We start from the raw sequence: 22960 nt of genomic DNA, 5'->3' as shown, positions 1-22960 counted from the left end.
AGTGATCCTCCTGTCTCAGCCTCCTGAGTACCTGGGACTACAGGTGCACACCACCTTGACCAGTCACAGTCCTTTTTATATAAAATTTGGGTTTTATTTTCGCAGTATTAGCACCCTTACATAGGTCTTGTTATCTGTGATTTCATCAAATATTATATTTTTCTGAGGCCAGGGTTTCAGATATGCTGATTAGTCTTTCAATCAAGATTAAGAACAAATGCTTCAATTTTCAATTTTGTTTATATTCTTATAGGTCCTCTGAGGGTTAAAACTAATTTATTAAATGTGTTATTCATTCCAAAATCTTTTAAAAATCCATTTTATTTAATTAATTTATTTGAGACATAGTCTCACTCTGTCGCCCTGGCTTGAGTGCAATGGCACAATCGTGGCTCAATGCAACCTCTGCCTCCTGGGTTCAAGCAATTCTGCCTCAGCCTCCCAAGTAGTTGGGATTACAAGTATGTGACAACACACCTGGCTAATTTTTGTATTTTCAGTACAGATGGGGTTTCACCATGTTGGCCAAGCTGGTCTCAAACTTCTGACCTCTGGTGATCTGCCCCACCTCGGCCTCCCAAAGTGCTAGGATTACAGAAAAATCCATTTTAGATAAGGTAGATGTATTAACCAGAAGGCATACAAATTTGGTCTTCTGGGAGTGAATTCCAAATGTTAAGATCATGCAATAAGTGATTACAAGATAATCACATATATTAATATTCTACACACAATAAAGCTAATCAACAGGTATTGAAGAAAACATATCTGGCTACTAAGCCAATACCAACAGTAATTATAAACTCCTTCACAGATAAGAAAGTGGAATGGAATAAGAAAAATGGTACTTCACTAGAAATCAAGTGCCAGTTTCTGGATGTATGCCCGATATTCTCTCAGACGGTGGACTTAGACTCACCAAGTAATCTCCTTGAACCTCAGTTTCCTCAGAGTAAACAAGCTGATTAGATTAGGTAACCTTCAGGATTTCTTTTTCCTTTAATAATCTTTCAAAAAATAGCCAAAAAAAAAAAAAAATCCATACAGAAGAAGTGAATAAGAAAAAATAATGCCATTTTTTCAAAAGAGTTAAAACTTTTAAAAAGGTAAAGAAAGTAACTTTTCCAGGAGTGTATCTGTGGGCACCACATTCTTGCCAAGAGAAGCTTTTCACCTGCTGAGAAGAAAATCGACTGAAGTCACGTGGTGCTAGTCAATTTCATTCACAGTAGGCGCTTTAAGACAGCAAAGCACCACAGTTCAGAAACAGTACTACCAACTTACAGAGTAAACTGGAAAGCAAGAAGGTGGCCAGAAGAGTGAAAAAGAAAAAACAAGGCAGAATAAAAACTGCTTTTTTAAAGGAATAGGCTTGGCCATTTTTATTTAAAAAAAGAATACAAAAGAAAGGTAAGAGTTAAGTCTACGACCAATTTTTACCTTCAATTTGGTAAGTCACGGATTTCTGTAGGCATGGATTTTACTGCCTACAGAAGTTTAATTTGCTGTCTGTTACACTCCAACTGTGATTTCACCAATTTTGTTTCATGGTGAGTTCTGGAATTCATTACATAATTCTTAAATGGGAACCAACCAGGCAAAGTTTGAGAACCACTGTATTAACGTGATGGGTAAGCACAAGAACAGTTAAGCGCACAGTGTTTCCATTATAAAACCTTAATTTCAAGGTTTTTCTCTTTCCTTCTTTCTAAAACTTATACACTTTGGGAAAAGAAACTTAATGTAAGAGCTCCAGACATGAAAATAACTGTAATGATATAGAAAACAAATTATCTCATTTTTTCCCCCAAAGGATACTGCCCAAATATCTCATTTTTATAAATATTTCCAAAGGGTTAAGGATAGCTCCATGGTATCAGGATGCTTTTTTTTCCCTTCTCCTTCACTTATATACCTCAACCTGTAACTAAAAGGACAACAAATCCAAAGAAAGGATAATCTAGTGCCTTTACATAGAGCAAATACTCAATAAGCTTGTAGAATCAGTGCTAGACAATATTAACTAAACTACTTACTATAGGTTACTCATAAAACAACTCATAAAAACATGAGTTGCTACTTCAGTGGCAAGAGAAAGCACATCGTAGAATCAGTCATATTTGGTTTACAATCATAGCTACTAGCTCTGTGATGCTCGATAAACTACCTCTTTCAGTTTCAGCTTCTTTGTGTGTAAACAAAACCAATACCTAACTTTCAGGGTTTTGGTGACAGCATTACAGATGATGTAAAGTGTCTCACACTATGCCTGATAAGTGGTAGGCACTTCTTGGTGTTATAATTTTTAGTCATCAATTTAAATAAGAAGTTTGGAGACGGCCGGGGCAGTGGCTCACACCTGTAATCCCAGCACTTTGGGAGGCACAGGCGGGCGGATAACGAGGTCAGGAGATCGAGACCATCCTGGCTAACATGGTGAAATCCCGTCTCTACTAAAAATACAAAAAATTAGCCGGGCGTGGTGGCGGGTGCCTGTAGTCCCAGCTACTCGGGAGGCTGAGGCAGGAGAATGGTGTGAACCCGGGAGATGGAGCTTGCAGTGAGCCAAGATCGTGCCACTGCACTCCAGCCTGGGCCACAGAGCGAGACTCTGTCTCAAAGAAAAAAAAAAGAAGTTTGGAGACATATTCATTGGAACCAAAATATTAACAATGGGTTGTACACAGCAGTATCAAAAACATTTCCTCTCTATATCCTTTCTGTACTTCTAAATTCTCTATGATATACCACTATAGTAATTAGAAAAAACTATTTTTAAAAAATGAAAATAGTTGAAAAAAATGAAAATCTTGGCTGGATGTGGTGGCTCATGCCTGTAATCCCAGCACTATGGGAGGCCAAGGCGGGCAGATCACTTAAGGCTAGGAGTTTGAGACCAGCGTGGCCAACATGGCGAGACCCCCAAGTCTACCAAAAATACAAAGATTAGCTGGCAGTGGTGGCGCACGCCTGTAGTCACTGCTACTCAGGAGGCTGAGGCAGGAGAATCACTTGAACCTGGGAGGTGGAGGTTGCAGTGAGCTACGATGGCACCACTGCACTCCAGCCTGGGCAACAAAGAGAGACTCTGTCAAAAAAAAAAAAAAAAAGAAAGTCTTCACTTAAACTGGATATAACTATAGATATAATAGGCATTACTCAAAATAGTTTCAGAATACTTTATATTTGAAAAAATCCAAGATGCATTGTACCAGTAAGTATGGTAGTGTAACTAAAAATACAATCTCCAAATTATCAGATGAAGAAAAAGGCCTAATTTATTTTTTTAAATGAGTCACTGTGCCTTCGTTTTGGTTATTCTGGTCACTTTCTGAGTTAACATATCTACTAACGTAGCTCCTAAAAGGCAGACATAATAATACTCACCAAATTAATATACTAGTTAACAAAATAATATTTTCTAGAAATTACAGAATCCTGCAGTATTAGTATTCTCATACTGAAAGCTCCATACTTTCTTTCTTTTTAAAAAAAGTTGCTTGTGTCTCAAGCAAGTTTACCATCAGTGTGTTTCTTCTGTTAGGATGAGGATCTTGCATCTACAAAAGATATCTTACCAACCAATGGAACAGCAGGAATGAAAAAAATGAACATACAGAACATCTACATGGTCAAGTAAAAAGTACTTGGACATGGCCGGGCACAGTAGCTCACACCTGTAATCCCAGCACTTTGGGAGGCCGAGGTGGGTGGATCACCTGAGGTCAAGAGTTCGAGACCAGCCTGGCCAACATGGTGAAACCCTATCTCTACTAAAAATACAAAAAATTAGCCGGGCGTGGTGGCAGGCGCCTGTAATCCCAGCTACTCAGGAAGCTGAGGTGGGAGAACTGAGCCAAGATGGCGCCACTGCACTCCAGCCTGGGTGTCAGAGCAAGACTCCATCTCAAAAAAAAAAAAAAAAAAAGAAAATACTTGAACAAAAATGTTATACCAATTTCCTCAAAATTTTGAAAGTGTAATTATATGTGTATCATAATGTTGCCTCCTTTTGAGAAGACTGAAAGGAAAAGTTTAATGTATTTATTTCATTTCCATCCTCAGAGGGCAGCAAAAGGAGAGTAGTTAAAAGTGTCTGTGATGATCTACTATTAAGTCAAAAGGTTGTAAATAGTTACAATCCTAATTTTCTTTTTTTTTTTTTAAACGGAGTCTTGCTCTGTCGCTCAGGCTGGAGTGCAGTGGCGCAATTTTGGCTCACTGTAACCTCTGCCTCCCGGGTTCAAGCAATTCTTCTGCCTCAGCCTCCAGAGTAGTTGGGATTACAGGCACCCACCACCACGCTCGGCTAATTTTTGTAGTTTTAGTAGAGACAAGGTTTCACCATGTTGGTCAGGCTGGTCTTGAACTCCTAATCTTAAGCAATCCACCTGCCTTGGTCTCCCAAAGTGCTAGTACGGGTGTGAGCCACCACGTCCGGCCACAATCCTAACTTTTTTTTAGGTTTAGGCAAATATGAAAATTTAAAGATTTTCTTTGGTAGTAGACAGGGATTTCAAGGATTTCTCCTCACTTTTGCTTACCTGTATTTCCTGGCTTTCTGCAATGAATATAACTTTTGTTTTTCCTTAATGGAGAAACATGGTAATTTAATTAAAAATTTAAAAATACATTAATTTAAACATCTGATAAAATTTCTATTCCAAAATTGTTAACAGCTCTAAAATCCATAACTCATTTGGTGGTAAACTCTGACATGGTAAAGTCAGAGGTAAAGCTATTTATAATCATTACTTATCTCACTTAGTATGTTCATATGTTTTGCTGCCAAAATATTAATGCCCAAAATACTACTAGAGTGTTAACATATAATACATATATTTTATTACTTTTACATAATCTGAAAAACTTGGAATTCTAATATATATATGGCCCCAAAAGCTTCAGAAAAGACACTGTGAAGTGTATTAGGGATCTCACATAAATCTTTTTTTTTTGTATGATATAAATTCATTAGCCTCACTGGGAAAATGAGATCGTAGTACTTTATGCTTGAATCGTTAGCTATTTGTAATGCTTTCTGGTTTAAGAACCAAAGGGTCTCCACATTCAATAGGTCTGTGCATACGTCCCCATACTATACACAAATTACAGGCTACTAACTAATCAACAAAATAGAGCCCCTATATCATAAAAGAGAAAATTTAAGAATTAAGTCTAGATTTGTTCATTAGTATGAATAACATCAGGGTACAGTATGCTTTTCAGAAATAATTTACATGACTTTGTTTACTATGGGACCCACTCTCTTTTGGGGAAGAATTATGCTCAATGACAGAAACAGAAAATTCTTAAGCTTTTTGGCTTCTAAAAGCAGTATACATTAATGACAAAATAAGGGCTGAAAGACTTAAATTTATGTCAACAAAATTAAGAAACCACACATACAGCTTACAACGTTAACTTCTAATAAGTTTTAAAACTCGAAAAAATGAAGACATAAATACAGAAACTGTAAAGCATTAGTTTTCTCATGTTTCCCTAAGAAAACATGCCAAAACACAAAAGCAAAAAAGAAACAAAACAAAAATCAAAGGAAGAAAAAAAGAATCTATGTATTTAACATAGGTGCTCAATGACAATTATACTAAGGATAGATATTCACCTTCTTTGGGTTGAGCCATAACTGGAGTCTGAGTTTCCTTTGTATACGTGACAATTTCTCGAGGAGGAAAGTCGACTTGCGTGATTTTAGCCATTCCAAGTTTAATAGGTCCTCGTCTAAATTAAGTAAATACAAACAACACAATTTTAACTACATCAAACCATGTTATTTTCAAAAATTAAGAATTAAACAGTCATTTGCACCCAACATTGTAATTTCAATCCATTTTATTCAAGAAATTTTAGATTAACAATAAATTGGCTTTATTTTAGCAAAAGAATGAGAAGGTAGCAAAAGCAAAAGATATTTCTGAATCATTCAGTGTTTTTATTTTCATTTTAAAAAGGCAAGTAATTTCATTTTTTTAGAACAAATGTGCGGGCAATAATGAAGTAAGAGAATAGGAACTTCAGAGTGGACCACTGAATAAGGTTGTCGTAAGAACTGGTTTCAGCTGGGATATGGTTCTTTCTGGACTTTTTTTTAAGAATCAGACTAGATATCACTCAGACCACATTTAGCTGATTGTGCCACTAGGAGAATTCAGCTTTACGACTGAAAAACAGGTTTCTGTTGAAAGCTTTTTTTCTACTTATATTTGGCAGAAATTGAGAATTACACTATCAATTTGGACTTTAAAATGAAATATTTAAAACTTTTAAATCTCTAATCTCTGCATGATCAATACTGTCCTTGATTCACATTATGGAGAAACTAAGGTCCAGATATTCTACACTTAGACTAAAGTGACAGATCTTTTGAATACCATAAATCTACTAAAGTCACTTCTGTTTAGAAATACAGGGTATACATTCTTTTTTGACAATGGAAGAGAGCTGTGGCTGAGGAAAATGAACCAAAAGAAAAATATATTTTATTAGCTATCTGGGAGATCTTTTATTGGTTTTATTAGATGTTTAAATCCTAAACCAAATAAAGTACGCTTCCAGACTCCCAAAAAAGTTCTCAGTGATGAAGCTGCCTTAAAAGGATATACAATAAAGACACTGCTGCAACTTTCAGAATATAAAGCAGGCTATCGCTGGTAATATAACTTTTTTCTTATATAAATATTCTTTTCAGTTCTATTTAGTAACTAAATCCAAGTCCTATACAATCTAATAAAGCATAACAAAGTACTATAAAGTATAATAAAATTAGTACATTTTAAAAATTAATGTTCCAAAATGTGGGCCATAACAATTTTTTAATGTCTTTTCTAGTTTAGAAATAAAAAAGAAAGGGAAAAAAAAAGTATAGTCAAAGAATTAAGTGGACAATTTAAGTAATCTGAAGTAATCTAGAAGTCTAAGAATAAAATTTGAAATAAGAAACTTTATATTCTGATTTTTAAGATGCAAATTATATAAAAAGTAAATCACTCACATAGCTGGAAAAAAATCGTCAAGCCAACAATATTAGGAATCAATTACCAACTTGAATGCATACAGAGTCTAACAGAAAAAACCATAATACTAAACAAACGAAATATTCCAAGATTTTATAGGAGGAGGTGGGTAGGGAAGTAATACCTCACTTATCCAAAAGCCACTTTTACTGAAAATAAGGAAGCAATGGGAGGCAGGAGGGGGAAGCCTCAGTGTGGCCACTACAGAGGGCTTCCAGTTCAAGTACAAGAAACTCATATATTTTTCTTACATGCCTCAAATCAAGGCTTATTTACCTTACTTTAGACACAATTCCAAAAGGTATATTCATATGTTTTTGAAGCTGTAAATTATCAGGGGAAAAGGGCTATCTGAGTCAGGCAAAATGGCAGCAGCAAACATTTATAATTTGCATTAGAATCTAGAATAAATAACTGAATGAATGAATGGATGGATAATCTTATCTCTATGTCAACAAAATTAAAAAACCATACATACAGCTTACAACACTAACTTCTAAAAGAACAAGTTTTAAAACTCTAAAAAAGAGACATACAGAAACTATAAAGCATTAGTTTTCTAACGTTTCACTAAGAAAATATGCCAAAAAAAAAAGCAAAAAACAAAACAAAAATAAAAGGAAGAAAGAAAAGAACCTATTTATTTAACCTAGGGGCTCAATGACAATTATATTAAGAATATTCATCCATACATTCTATGAATAATCTATTAATCCATTCATTCACTCATTTATTTATTCTAGATTCATGAATAGTTTTATTCTAGATTCATGAATAAATAGTAATGAATGAATGAACAGTGTAAGGACCAGCATCTCCATTATTCTCAAAATCTTAGAAATCATCAGTGAATTTTAATACAGAAAAATAAATTAATATTCATATCAAGTAACCCTGAAAAGGTTCAATTACATGTAGAATATTAGAAGAAGTCTGAGAAGTTTTTTAATACATCCTACAAAACTTGTATTAAAAACATAGAAATAATTTTAAACATTTGGACACTTAAATGGACTCAGGGTACATAGAACATCACACAGAATATTCTTTCACTAAAGATACTGGATAAATGAGGTGTCACAGTAAAATATAACTCTTGTCCTTACTACGTGATACAATATTATAAACTTAAGCAAAATAAAATTAGGACAGTTTCACAAAGAATCAAATTCATTATAAAACAGGGAAGGTAAAAAATCTATTCAATACCCCAAATCGGAATCTGAGTGAAGCTGAAGAACTGATGGATCTGTATCCCAATGCAGCGTCCTAAATGGTTGTAGGACAACCATGAAGCATTAGCAAAAAAGGCCATAAGTTAGTCAAGCAAATACATTCTATGAATAGCTAAAGCTAAAGTACTATTCACAATTAAAAAACACATGTTCTGGTTAGTATTAAAAAAAAAAAATCGAAAACAAAACAAGAAATCCACCAGGTCACTCAATCATCTAGTGCATGCAATAGGCTTCCTATGGTTAAAGATGCAAGCATACAACCCAGAATAGTTAAAAGACATTATTTGCAGATTATGGGAAACTAATATTGTATAATAATAGATCTGCTTTAGAACAACTAAAGTCAGACAACCCAAGTTAATTATTTATGGATAACAAGCTAGGCTATAAAATGGTTGAAATTTTAAGATTCCTAATGAAAACAAACACATTAAAACATCTTGGTTAACATATTCTAATCTTCCCCAAAGCATTACATGTGTGCAGGAAATTGTCATACTGGTAAAGGAAATGAGTCAACACATAAGCCTTTTGGTAATAAAACCAAAGACTATCCCACTGGGATACAAAATAGCTAAAGTTTCCAAAATGTGACCCTTCTGTAATTTATGGGTTAAGCACCGCCTTGGGCTTACGTATCATCTGCTTAAAGAAAACAACTAAAGATTTCTGTCTCTAGGAAAAAAATAGATTTTTCCCTGGAAAAATATTTTATGTTCAAATGTCAATCCTAAATATTGAGTTATAAGTTTTAGCATCGCCTGCTGGCTAAGTAACTTACAGAGGATCTTTTCCACTTAAGCCAAACTTAGTTACTAATAGAACAAAAGGTGCTTTATCATACTGGCATTTATATAGGTTAGCAATATATAAGATAATTATGTATGGTACTGTATAATGCTCATAGTCCCCACTAAATAAAGTTAAGCACAATACATTTAGTATTACCATTTTTGTCAAATATATTTTTCACTTATGTAAGACATTATAATTTATAACTAGTTTTAGTTGCTACAATGTTTTAATACAACAAATGGTTTCTCTACCTGCCTATATAATTTATCAAGAAAAATAGTAATGAATTAATCTAGAGAAATCCTTCATTTAAAAAATATAAAGAAAGATCTTGGAATTTAAACAAGGTTATGTGTATGCAATGTAAGAAGCAGCCACAGTGAAGATCTACTTTGTACTAAGCAATGAATAGCAACAAGCTTAGGCTTTGTTAAATCAAAAGTTCTATGAGATGGTCTCCAAGGAATGTTCTGTCATTTACATTATGTAAGAGCTCTGTTATCAATGACATAAAATTCCTTGTTGAGGATGTCATTTTAGTCTAAAATCAAGTAACACTGTACCTCAAAATACAGCCAGTACTGAAAATGCACTGGACATACCTGTACATTATTACATTTATTAGGGGCATCTTCAGGCACATAGAGTACAATTCCAAGTACAAAGCTTGAGAAGTAAACTGATCAAAAATGGAAAAATGGGCCAGGCACGGTGGCTCACACCGGTCATCCTGGCACTTTGGGAGGCCGAGGTGGGCAGATCACTTGAGGTCAGGAGTTCGAGACCAGCCTGGCCAACGCGATGAAACCCCATCTCTACTAAAAATCAAAAAGTAGCTGGAAACCATCATTCTCAGCAAACTATCACAAGGACAAAAAACCAAACACCGCATGTTCTCACTCACAGGTGGGAATTGAACAATGAGAACACTTGGACATAGGAAGGAGAACATCACATACCGGGGCCTGTCGTGGGGTGAGGGGAGGGGGGAGGGATAGCATTAGGAGACATACCTAATGTAAATGATGAGTTAATGAGTGCAGCACACCAACATGGCACAAGTATACATATGTAACAAACCTGCACATTGTGCACATGTACCCTAGAACTTAAAAGCATTAAAAAAAAAAAAAGTAGCTGGGTATGGTGACACACACCTGCAATCCCAGCTACTGGGGAGACTGAGGCAGGAGAGTTGCTTGAACCCAGGAGGCAGAGATTGAAGTGAGCCGAGATCACGCCATTGCACCCCAGCCCGGACAACAGAGCAAGACTCTGACTCAAAAAAGAAAAAAAAAAAAAAGGAAAAAAGGAACAAGAGGCCTGGATTACCCCACTGAATAATTGTTCCTAAATTTTTGAGATAACAAATGTAATGCAGCTTCCTAATCTGCAAAGTTAGAGAGAGATTATTTCTCACGACCTTTTATATTTATTCATAAATTACCACCAGTCCCAAAAGAAATTCTTGGCACTTAGAGTGATTCAAACATGTTTAGACAGCATATTTTATAATGTCTTATCTATTCCTACTCCCTGAGTGTATTAATCTTAGACCATCTTAGCCAACTGAAGTTGCACGTACAGGTGCATGCACACATCTCACATGTCTTCATGTATTTTCCTATTATATTTCTTCTAATTGTCTTTATTCTTACATTAACATCGTGTTTGCTCAATATGAGTTCATTAGGTTTCATTCTGAGACCTGGGCACTCTTTTTAAATGTCACATATTTAGAAATGCATTATTTCACTGCCAATATCACCATCACAATATTAATTACCTCTATGAAAGCTGGATATGATTTAGTAGAATTCATCATTTTCTATTACTCTGTGTGTGTGTGTGTGTGTGTGTGTGTGTGTGTGTGTGTGTGTATATATACATAAAAATGAATATACTCAGCCCTCTTGAAAATTAATGTTTCCAAGTGAGTCTGTGCTCTCAAAGGAGACAACGTACATATTAAGGTTAAAAAGATGTGGCTGGGTGCGGTGGCTCAAGCCTGCTACCCCAGCACTTTGGGAGGCTGAGGTGGGTGGATCACCTGAGGTCAGGAGTTCGAGACCAGCCTGGCCAACATGGTGAAACCCTGTCTTTACTAAAAATACAAAATTAGCTGGGCGCGGTTGTGCATGCTTGTAATCCCAGTTACTTGGGAGGCTGAGGCAGGAGAATCGCTTGAACGTGGGAGGTGGAGGTTGCAGTGAGCCAAGATCGTGCCACTGCACTCCAGCCTGGGCAACAAGAAGGAAATGCCATCTCAAAGAAAAAAAGAAAGATGTAAGGTCACCTCACTCAAAAAGAGGATTTTTCTCTCCGTTAAACTCACAAGAAACCAATTTTGTATTCATTATCTAACAAGAACAAATACTTTAAAAAATATTAACTATTTGTTTTTGTGTTTTACAATTTATCATTAAAAAAACTATGCTTCACACTAAACATAGCACACTACCCTTAGGGCTTTCCAATAAAGTCAACAGTATCTTTAAATTAATGATGTAATCACTACAATGTAAATTCTATGAAAGCAAGGACCATGAATGTTTTATCTTCTGTGGTAAACCATAGTATTTTAATAAAGTTGGTAACTTAATATTTGTTCTATACATGAATAAATATTTTTCTTACCATTATTACTCCCTGTATTAATTTACAATATTCTAAAAGGTCTCTAATAATCTCTGGGTTGTCCATAAAACTCATGGGGACATGTTTTAATTCACATTAATTTAAAAAACTTAAGTGTCAAAGTACTTTTGAAAGCAAACTTGCTGACACTGAATTAAAATAATCTACTATTCAAAATCAGGAACGATGAGTCATAATGTACACAGTATAGTATCTACATAAAAATAATGTATAATATCAAATAAAGACATTTAATAAATATAGTAATTTTTAATCTTGGGAAACATTTTTACTATGGTAATGTTGTAGAAGGGAAAAAAAAACGCTTTCACTTAAAAATGCCAGTTGATTATTAATTGTCTAAAGGAATAGTGGCTGGGTGCAGTGGCTCATGCCTATAATCCCAGCACGTTCGGAGGCCAAGGTGGGTGGATCACTTGAGTCTGGGAATTCGAGTCCAGCCTGGGCAATATGGCAAAACCCTGTCTCTATAAAAAATACAAAAATTAGCCAGGCATGATGGTGCGTGCCTGCAGTCCCAGCTACTCGGGAGGCTGATGTGGGAGGATCGTTTGAGCCCAGGAGGCAGAGGTTGCAGTGAGCCAAGATTGCGCCACTGCCCTCCAGTCTGGGTGACAGAGACCCTGTCTGCAAAAAAAATAAAAAATAAAGGAATAATGACATATTTGTATAAAAATATAGAAGCACAAAATATGAAAAAAAATTTTAACCCTATAAAAATGAATTTACACTAGACAAATTGTCTTTATTCTGTAATGCATACTATTTTATAAGGTAATAACATTATTTCTAAAAAGAAAATTTTGATTTTCCTTAAATGAAAGAGTTATGTCATTTTCCTCCAAAGATAGTATAGCTTAGATTTGTGATTTTGGTTCTATTTGGAAAGCACTTCTCAAATTCAAGCTGGCAAGCTTTATGTGCCTTTTAATTGTTAATGATAACCTGATTATTCAAGAGCTGATTGAAGTATTGAGTTTACAGATCATCCAGCCACCTTGCTTTTTTTTTCTTGCCCTGTCTTTTAGATATTTATTACTGGTTTGTAACTTCAACTAGAGGGACTCAGGCATAAAAAGCTTAAAACTTCTAACAGCTTATGTCTTATTAAAAGGTGTGTTAAGAGATTTTCTTGGTGAGGACATGCAACTTCCTGGCCCAAAATAAGCATTCTTAATCAGCTGTGGATTTTGACTACCTATGTTTAATTTCATTTCAGAAGTCAAAAAGTACATTTAATACTCACTATTTTGTGTGTGTGTGTGTGTGTGTGTGTGAGAGAGACAAAGAGGAATAAGTAGTAATACTTTTCCCAATATGATCTTTGAAAGAAAGCTGAAATCTTACTGAACTTTTGAAAAGCAAGTCCCAACATGTATGCAGGATCCTAAAACAAACACGAAATGTAATTTTACAAGGAAGATGCAAGTTCAGGAATGCTTGACAGTAAACATTCTCAATGTTGTCCTTAGCAGTTATTCCTTACTCTTGACATTTTATGCATTATTATTCTCTATCTTAATTAGCAGAACTAATGACTTAATAGAACAGAATTGAACTGTTTAACAGAATTGTTTACATTTTCAATTACTGAATGGGGAATCAAGCACAAGAGAGAGGTTTTACACTATTTACACCCAAAACATTCACGTAATAACCAACAAAAAGTTTAAACAGAAAAATCTAAAAGCATTAATATCTCTATTTTTAATATAAAATAATTAGCATAAAACCGGTTGACTATTTAGTACTAAGTTAATTAAATGTGACAGTTAAAATATTATTAAAAAAAAACAAAGAAACCTTTTTTTTCTCCCAGTGTCCAACAGAGAATTTCTATGCCATTTTAGATTTTAAAATGTTAGGACTAACTCGACACAACTATTTAGAGTCCCTTTAAAGTATCAACAGTATTTGGGCACTGAATGCATTCTATCATTAAAACATTAAAAGGAAAATTACTGTACCTAGATCCCACGGCGCCATCTCCAGAGTCTTGGCTTCCAGCTTCACTTGGAGTGCTCACAGATTTGGAGGATGGAGACATAGGAGGAGGGACTAAATAGTGAAATAGACAGGTATCCGCTGTTACTACACGGAGAGGTTGCTCAGCTTATGACGTTTCAAAAATAATTTAATGAAGTAATTAACAAAAAAGAAAAAAACAATGGCAAACCAAAAATCAAAAATATATGAATGAAAATGAACAGCAGAAAGAAAGGGGAAAAGACAAAAAGTTAACAATGCATGCTGAAGATTCATGCAATTTTTCTGGCAAAATGCATTTGAGCTTTATAATTTTTTTAAAAAGGCAAGATTATGGAAGGATGCATCTTCATCTCATCCATCACCAAATGTGGCCACTAATTTTCAAAGGAGAGCATTCCTTCTCCCCCTTGTAACTTTTCACTTTTAATATCACCAGATTATAAATATTATTTACAATTGCTGCCAAAATTCAACTCTGAAATATGTTTCATTAAGTTATTTAATCTCTAGTTTCTCAAGATTTATTTTAAAATATTAACTTTTGTCTAATAATTTTTTCTTTCAAAAAGTAATGTTTAAAATGATTTCACTGCCTCCCCCCCAAAAAAAGATATCAATTTAGAGAAATGACTGCAGCTAAAGGAATGGCTCCTTTAAAATGTTCATTAGTTTCCAGCAATTTGGGTGAAAAATGCAAACAGGCAATAAAACAGCATGCCTTCTAGACATTATGCATAACATAAAGTGATGCATGCAAATAAACAAGGCAAGACTTATGGGAACTTCCTTACCCCAGTATTCAGAAAAAACTGAAGTGTACAGACAAAGATACAGACACCCAAAATATTCTTAATCCCTTCTTATAGAAAAATACACATTTTTCATAGTATATAAAATAAACAGCAAGTGCTTTCCCCTAGATCCTCAACTTTTAACATTATATAACAACAGCTGAACGTGCACATTTCATGCTATGACATTTGTAAAACTTTTTGATTACCGTTGCAGGGAGTATAGGAGGATCATCACTGCCATCTTCTGGTTAAATTTTATCATAAATGTCCCCAATCCCAAGTATCTTTTCAAAATAATTTTTCAGTGTATGATATTAAGTGACTAATACAGTTTATGTTGAGCTGAAAGCCCTTCTTTTAACAGTCTACTGAAAAGAAGGCAAGTTCCTAGTTATATAGGAACTAAAGAAATAAGTATTTAATTAAAAGTCTGTGTTTTTTAGGATAGTCACATTCATTGAACCTTAAAATTATGTCTAAATGTTTATACACGCTGCAGTAAAAACAGTGGGCTTGGTAATCTATCAAAATGTATAATATATTATGATGGCTCACATCTTAAACATAAGTATAAAACTGATCATCCTTATTTTTTCAATGGTAAATTCTAATTGACACCAATAAGATTATAAGAAAAAAAAATCACAACTAGAATATTTCTTTCCTAAGATACAGTGGCTAACTGCTTAAATTTCAAAGGACTATAAAAACTTCATCAATGTTTCTAATATTGTGATTAAATGTGTCAGAAACAACTATAAGACCAGATAGCTTCCTATAGTTTACATGTAGGTGGCACTGTGCTAGGTGCTGTATGTATAATTCAAAGTACCTAAAAATGATTTTCATCTAAAGTAGAAGAATATTAATGTCCCTTAATTTATCTTAGGTTACATTTCTTCATTTTTTGTCCATCTTTCACTGTGAGGCTTCCCCTAGTCTAAGTCCCAACTGATATAGGACTAGAGTAATACTTAACAGTTGTTTGCCTACTGTGCTGTAAACACAAATAAATGTTTATTAAATTATAGTGAGGCACCACAATGTTTTCAAGATTTTTAAAGAAGAAATTTTGTATGCTTTAAATTACATACCTAATTTCATACTCAGAAAAACAATTTTTCCAAGTGTACATATCAGAGGTTGGAGGAAAATTAGTAAAATTCCCATCAATCTATTTGTGATGAACTACAGAATTCTTTTTCAGTTTAACATGCTTTTCCCCCTTTCTGATGATTTCAAGTATCAATGACTCCACTGAACAAGTTCAACAGTATTTTACTTGGTTAAAGACTACATTTTTAAAAAATGTTAATCAAAATTCTTTACAGAAACAGGCTAAATACTAATTACACAGATAAACAGATACATTAACAGCCAGTTCTGAAATAAAAGTTTCAGAAATAAAAAATAAAAGGGTGATGCTACCATATTATCACAGTTTCTTAGCCAAAGCCAAAATAAATCACAGTGACTTCACATTTGTAATTATATAAATATCTCCATCCCAGAACTATCTTCTTTCTCCCAAATATAGGTTCAAGCCAAATGATGGAAAAGACTCTATAAAGGACTCTTAGCTATTATCTGAGCCACAGCTACATTTTGCAATAATAAATAATGTATACCACAGAAGGGACAATCCTAGAAAAAAATTACTATCATTACAAAAGGAGGAATATTAATTTTTAAAAAGGGGAATGATAGTGTTATTTGGTAACTGCTACATTTTAATCCAATTAATCTAGAAAAATCAAAGAATACTAGAATTATGCAAGAAGGCAAATACCACTATATTCCCAGACTTCAATAAACCCCTGAGAACAAATGAATGCATGCATTCAGGAGGCCAAAACAAAACAGAAACACTAATCAACTCACAGGTTCTCAAATGTAAGAAAAGACTCACTTCTGGAATTCATTTTTAAAGACAGTTTGTAAGTCTAATCAGCCTTGAAAATAACATAAACCATTACTAATTAATTTTTGCCAAGTATCTGAGATATGATCTGCTTAGTAAGAACAGTGATTCAATCAGATTACCTTTACTCCACAGTTCTGCACATAAACAGCCTAAAACAGGTTTTAAATGGTATAAAGTAAAGGAATTAATATAAACATAGGTGAATATGTTAATGAATTTCAGCTTCTTAGAAGTTTAGAGCACAGATACCTATTCTCTTCTTTGACAACTGTCACAGAAGAAAAAAAAAAAGAAAAAAAAAAAAAGCTAAACCATGGCAGTCACTGATCATGTAGGTAATGTGAGAAAGACTGTACTTCTTTAACTATCCAGGACAAAAAGGCAATCAAGAAAGCCTTTCCTACCAGCTTAGACCTTGTCCTTCCAAGGATATAAAATTAACACTGCTGGCTTCTGGCCTGTGAAGAAACAACTAGAATATTTTTAGACCACAAAGGACCTGGGAATGCACCTAGATTTAGAATTAGCATTAAGTCTGGGTCAACCACTCAGAACTACACAGAAGTCTCAAGGGCAAAGGATGGCACATAGCTGAATTATTTTTCAAGTAGAAGAAAGCCTCTGGCAAGAAGGGGTTTTTATCAGGAAGAAAGACCTGGAAAAGGTAGAAAGCTAAGGAAGGTGAATGTAGGGAATGGGAGTGTTGGTAGAAGACTGTGAAATGGAAGGAGTGAGCTTTTGGGATGCGTGGAACCCAAAGTTGTGAAGTCTCTTCTAAGGTCATCAATGATACTCAGTACTCAAACACAGTCCACGTTACAATAATGCCCCCTTCTGGACACAAGTGTTCTTAGCCCGGAATATTAAAATTTAAATAACTACCTATTTTTCATACCTTACTTTTTTTTGACCTTCTGAAAGATGTTACTTTAAACCTTAACTCTCTGAAATATTAATTTCTTCCTTCCCCTTGCTCTTTCTCTTCATAATGAGGTTTAAATATCCTCTACTAATCTCTCGTAAGAGTTTCATTTCCTTTATTCTCCTTGTCAATGTGATTTAGAGCATTACATTAAAAAAAAGAAATTAATAAGTGAAAATAACATTTTAGCTCGGGTGTGATGTGTCATGCCTATAATCTCAGCACTTTGGGGGACTGAGGCAAAAGGATTCCTTGATCCTAGAAATTTGAGACAAGCCTGGCCAGCATAACAAGACTCTGTCTCTACAAAAAATCAGCTGGGCATGGTGGCGCATGGCTGTAGTCCCAGCTACTCAGGAGGCTGAGGCGGGAGGATTGTTTGAGCCCAGGAGGTCAAGGCTGCAGTGAGCCATGGTTGCACCACTGTATTCCAGCCTGGGTAACAGAGTGAGGCCCTGTCTCAAAAAATAATTAAATTAAACAATACGATTTAGTTGTTGTCCTAAAGCAGAATGGCTTTAATTCGCCCTTACCAGGCGGTAAGACATGACCTAGTAATAATGGAACAAAAATTTAGGTGTCTAGCCTGTGATGGCACCAGAGGTAAAAATGTAAGTAATATATTCTCCTTGCTCTCAAGAATCTCTAACAAAAAGTCATCAAGTTGCCAAATAATTAAGAATCTACCAGTAGGCAGGGACAGTGACTCATGCCTGTAATCCCAGCATCTTGGAAGGTCAAGGCAGGAGGATCGCTTAAAGCCAGGAGTTTGATACCAGCCTGCACACTCAGCCTGTAGAGATGGGTGAGTCCCCATTTCTACAAAAACAAAAAAATTAGATGGCTATGGTAGTGTGAACCTGTAGTCCAAGCTACTTGGGAGGCTGAGGTGAAAGTACTGCTTGAGCCTGGAGGTAGAAGCTGCAGTTTGTGCCACTGTACTCCAACCTGAACAACAGAGTGAGACTGTTTAAAAAAAAAAAAACTACCAGCAAAGAAAAGTTATGAGAGGTTTGATTAGCTGTATCTCTTTTTTCTTTAAACCAATTGTTTTTAGTAGGAAAAAAAAATCCACTTTAGGAAAACAATAGATTGATTTTTTAAAATAAACCCAGTGTTTTTATACTTCTATGCTTTAAAAATATTTAATAAGGAGTACATTCTATATTGAAAAGAAAAACAAGTATCCATCCTAAGTCATGATACAAAATAGATTTTTTACTGTGGTTTACTGTCAAAAAAGGTTTGAAAGCCATGGCCTTCATCCGTATCCTGTATTTTTCAGGCCAAATTACAAATAAATACTGGACTTGTAGGCATATGTTTTAAGGATTATGAAATGCACTTAGCCTAATTTTCTAACGGTAATGAGATCTTCAGAAAGCCTTTAACCCTTCACAGGTTCCATTATAATGGTAAATCTGCCAACAAGAAAGGGAAACATCATTTAGAAATAAGAACCTCAAAGAAAGGAAAAGATGTAGATCTAACTTGGAAACTTAAATTCTTAAATCTAAATACAGTGTTAACCTTTTCTGGGAAGGAACAGCCAACCCTTTGTTCATAGCTATTTGGAGAAACTGGTAATTCAACTGTTAATCAGCTCATGCTGCTTTGATAAACACAATCTCACATGCCTACACATTATTGAAAATTTCAAATAGATATCATAAGCTAAATAAATTAAAGCAATGACATTTGGCTTGTTTTTCAAAGCATATTTATTTACTGCTCCCTACAATGTTCTATCTTGACCAGAATTGAGTCTCCACTCTTAATTACTGACAGCTAAAAACTCTGAAGTCAAATAGTTCACAACAGATAAGCTAATATTTAATCAAGAGGAAGATACTATTCCGCCCCACTCAGAAAAACCTTTGTTGAAAATTATGCCAGATAGTATACTCTGTAAAAAATTTTTTATTAATAATCTATTTATAAAATGACTGGAGATAAAATATGCTACCTTCCCCACTGTCTTATAACTAATCCAAATACTCAACAAAGTTTAAATCATATATAAAATGTTCTTCAAAACCTTTCTATAGCCAATCATGTTCACTAGGGACATTTTTATTTTAAAAAGTAGCTACTTAACTAAATTATCTCTCCATGGCTTAATTTAGTAATAACATTAAACTAACAGTATGAAGTTTAATGGTATCTTTCTTCCTTCTCCCTTTCTCTCTTGTATCTACACTCATAAACAAACAAAAAAAAAGTTGGCATAAAGAAAAACAGCAAGGGGCTGGGCACAGTGGCTCACACCTATAATCCCAGCACTTTGGGAGGACCAGGTGGGTGGATCACTTGAGGTCAGGAGTTCGAGACTAGCCCGGCCAACATGGTGAAACCCCGTCTCTACCAAAAATACAAAAATTAGCTGGGCTTGTTGGCAGATGTCTGTAATCCCAGCTACTCAGGTGGCTGAGGCAGGGGAATTGCTTGAACCTGGGAGGTGGAGATCGTGCCACTGCACTCCAGCCCGGGAGAGAGAGCAAGACTCCGTCTCCAAAAAAAAGAAAAATAGCAGGGGAATGATCTCTTTTAAAGTTTATAGTCTAAACATGCCCATTCAAGATGAATATAAAAATACAATACTAATACTACAATATTTACCCCAGCAAAAAGCTTGTTTTTGAGTTCAAATCCATTAAGATAAAATCAGTTTGTTATTGGCTACAAATGGTTTATCAAGACATATTTTTTATTTTAACCAACTTTTCTCAGAGTCAACTCTCAAAAATCAGAGTCACCTAAGACAGGCTATAAAACTAGGATAATTGGCCAGGCACAGTGGCTCACACCTGTAATCCCAGCACTTTGGGAGGCTGAGTAGGGTGGATCACGAGGTCAGGAGATTGAGACCATCCTGGCTAACACGGTGAAACCCCATCTCCACTAAAAATACAAAAAATTAGCCGGGCGTGGTGGCGGGCGCCTGTAGTCCCAGCTACTTTGGATGCTGAGGCAGGAGAATGGCGGGAACCCAGGGGGTGAAGCTTGCAGTGAGCCAAGATCACGCCACTGTACTCCAGCCTGGGCGACACAGCAAGACTCTGTCTCAAAAAAACAAAAAACAAAAAACAAAAAAACTAGGGTAATTGAAAGCTGGTTATAGTTACGATTAAACAAGCCAGTCTTTAGTCTCTACAGTAGTTTGGTTTAGTGACCCATCTAAGACACTATCCTGCTTAAAACTCTATTAAAATGCCTTTCATCACTTATAAGGCTACGATTTTTTTAAATGTTGAAATCTCTCAGAAAATCCCTCAAAAATTTGTGACTTTGATTTATGGGTAAATTCTCTGTGAATGTGGGCTGGACTTAGTGTTTCTCTTCCAATGGACAGAATGTGGCAGAGGTGATGCTTTGTGACTTCCAAATCTAAGTCATAAAAAGGACAGTTTTCTTCTGACTCTCTTTTTCTCTTCGATTGCTCACTCTGGGAGAACCCAGCTAACATGCTACCAGGATACTCAAGTAGATCCGTGGAGTGGCCCACGAGGATGGGAACTCAGCTGTCCCACTAGCAACCAACACCAACTTGCCAGCCATGTGAACGAACCACCATGAAAGCAAGTCCTCGAGCCTCAGTCAAGACTTCAGATCACTAAAGCTCTAACTGAAATCTTGACTTTGACCCAATGAGAGAAGTTGAGCCAGAACCACCTAGCTAAGCTGCTACCAAATTCTTGACCAGCAGAAACTATAAGAGATAATAAATGTTTATTGTTTTGGGGAGAAAAAAACAGACATAAGAAGAAATAGAAAATCTGAAGAGACTATAACCATTAAAAAAACTTGAGCAGTTAGGGAGGCCAAGGCGGGAGGATCACTTGAGGCCAGGAGCTTGAAACCAGCCTGGGTAACATAGCGAGACCCCATCTATACAAAAAAAAATTTTTTAAACTAGCCAGGCATAGTGATACCTGCCTGTAGTCCCAGCTACTTAGGAGGCTGAGGCAGGAGGACTTGAGCCCAGGAGACTGAAGCTACAGTGAGCTGAGATCACACCACTGCACTCCAGTCTCGGCCACAGACTGAGACCCTGTCTCTAAACTGCACCCCCGCCCGCCGCCACACACACACACACACACACACACACACACACACACACACACTCCAAATGATGAATAACCCCTGCTCTCTACTCTCTGTAGAAAAAAGTCATAATCAAGGCAGTTTTAAAATGGAAATCTAATGAGCTTTTAAGAAACAGGCATCTTTTATAAATTATTCTACAAAATAGCAAAAGCAAAAACTGACCAATTTATTTTAAAACCATAACCATGATGACCAATGAACATGGATAGTATAAGAAAATCAAAGGCAAATTTCATTCATTAGTACATATACAAAAAACCCTCAATAAAATATTAGCTAATCTTTTCCTTTTCTTTTTTTTTGAGACGGAGTCTCACCCTGTTGCCCAGGCTGGAGTGCAATGGCGCGATCTCGGCTCACTGCAACCTCTGCCTCCCGAGTTCAAGCGATTCTCCTGCCTCACCCTCCAGAGTAGCTGGGATTACAGGTGCCTGCCACCATGCCCAGCTAATTTTTGTATTTTTAGTAGAGACGGGGTTTCACCATTTTGGCCAGGCTGGTCTCGAACTCCTGACCTTATGATCTGCCTGCCTCGGCCTCCCAAAGTGCTGGGATTACAGGCGTGAGCCATCATGCCCAGCCTAGCTAATCTATTTTTAAAATACATGCAGGCCAGGAGTGGTGGCTCACACCAGTAATCCTAACACTATGGGAGGCTGAGGTGGGTGGATTGCTTGAGCTCAGGAGTTCAAGACCAGCCTAGGCAACACGGCGAGACCCTGTTTCTTTTCTTTTCTTTTGAGACAGAGTCTCGCTCTGTCACTCAGGCTGGAGTGCAGTGGCGCCATCTCGGCTCACTGCAAGCTCCACCTCCCGGGTTGACTCCATTCTCCTGTCTCAGCCTCCCAAGTAGCTAGGACCACAGGCGCCCACCACCACACTCGGCTAATTTTTTGTATTTTTAGTAGAGATGGGGTTTCACCATGTTAGCCAGGATGGTCTCGATCTCCTGACCTCGTGATCCGCCCGCCTCAGCCTCCCAAAGTGCTGGGATTACAGGTGTGAGCCACCGTGCCTGGCCTGTGAGACCCTGTTTCTACTAAAAATTTAAAAATTAGCTGGGTGTGGTGGCAGCACATGCCTGTAGTCCCAGCTACCCGGGTGGTTGAAGTGGGAGAATTGCTTAAGCCTGGGAGGCGGAGGTTGCAGGGAGCCAAAATCGCACCACTGCATTCCAAAATGGGTGACAAAGTGAAACCCTGTCTCAAAAAATAAAAAAAAGAGATAAAATACATGCAAAAACTCATCTGCCATGCCTAGAGGTGACTATGAGTAATTAAAGCAAAAAAGTAAACATGTCTCCTGCTTTTCTAACATTTAGGGTAACCAAAACCCCTAGTTATTGAGAGAAAGCTCCCCTTTACAGAAGAGCTTTAGCCAATAAATGCAGAAAGAATGGCAGAATTACAAAAACAATGCTGCAACTCTTAATTAAATAACTTAGATGAGGATCATCGATGAGTATTAACACCATCAGATAAAAGGCTGATAAAGAAATT

The 22960-nt window shown here is 36.0% G+C and overlaps 1 protein-coding gene across 12 annotated transcripts in view; it reads right to left on the bottom strand.

Annotated features, from left to right (window-relative positions):
• The window catches only part of DYNC1I2 (dynein cytoplasmic 1 intermediate chain 2), a 62690-nt gene that overhangs the window by 29089 nt on the left and 10641 nt on the right, over positions 1-22960 (bottom strand). For 4 of the 12 annotated variants that reach the window (NM_001320882.2, NM_001378455.1, NM_001320883.2 and 1 more), the window contains exons 4-6: positions 13693-13783; positions 8244-8303; positions 5627-5742 (exon numbers count right to left, since the gene is read on the bottom strand). In NM_001320882.2, coding sequence (NP_001307811.1) covers positions 5627-5742; positions 8244-8303; positions 13693-13783 — 267 coding nt within the window. Of the gene's footprint in view, positions 1-5626; positions 5743-8243; positions 8304-13692; positions 13838-14505; positions 14524-22960 lie in introns of all 12 variants that reach the window. The other 8 variants (NM_001271788.2, NM_001271790.2, NM_001271789.2 and 5 more) reach the window with 3 other exon arrangements.

The sequence above is a fragment of the Homo sapiens genome, chromosome 2 (assembly GCF_000001405.40).
Source record: "Homo sapiens chromosome 2, GRCh38.p14 Primary Assembly".
In the NCBI taxonomy this organism is placed as follows: Eukaryota; Metazoa; Chordata; class Mammalia; order Primates; family Hominidae; genus Homo; species Homo sapiens.
The sequence above is the reverse complement of the archived record's forward strand: the minus strand, read 5'-3'. Positions and strand labels throughout refer to the sequence as shown.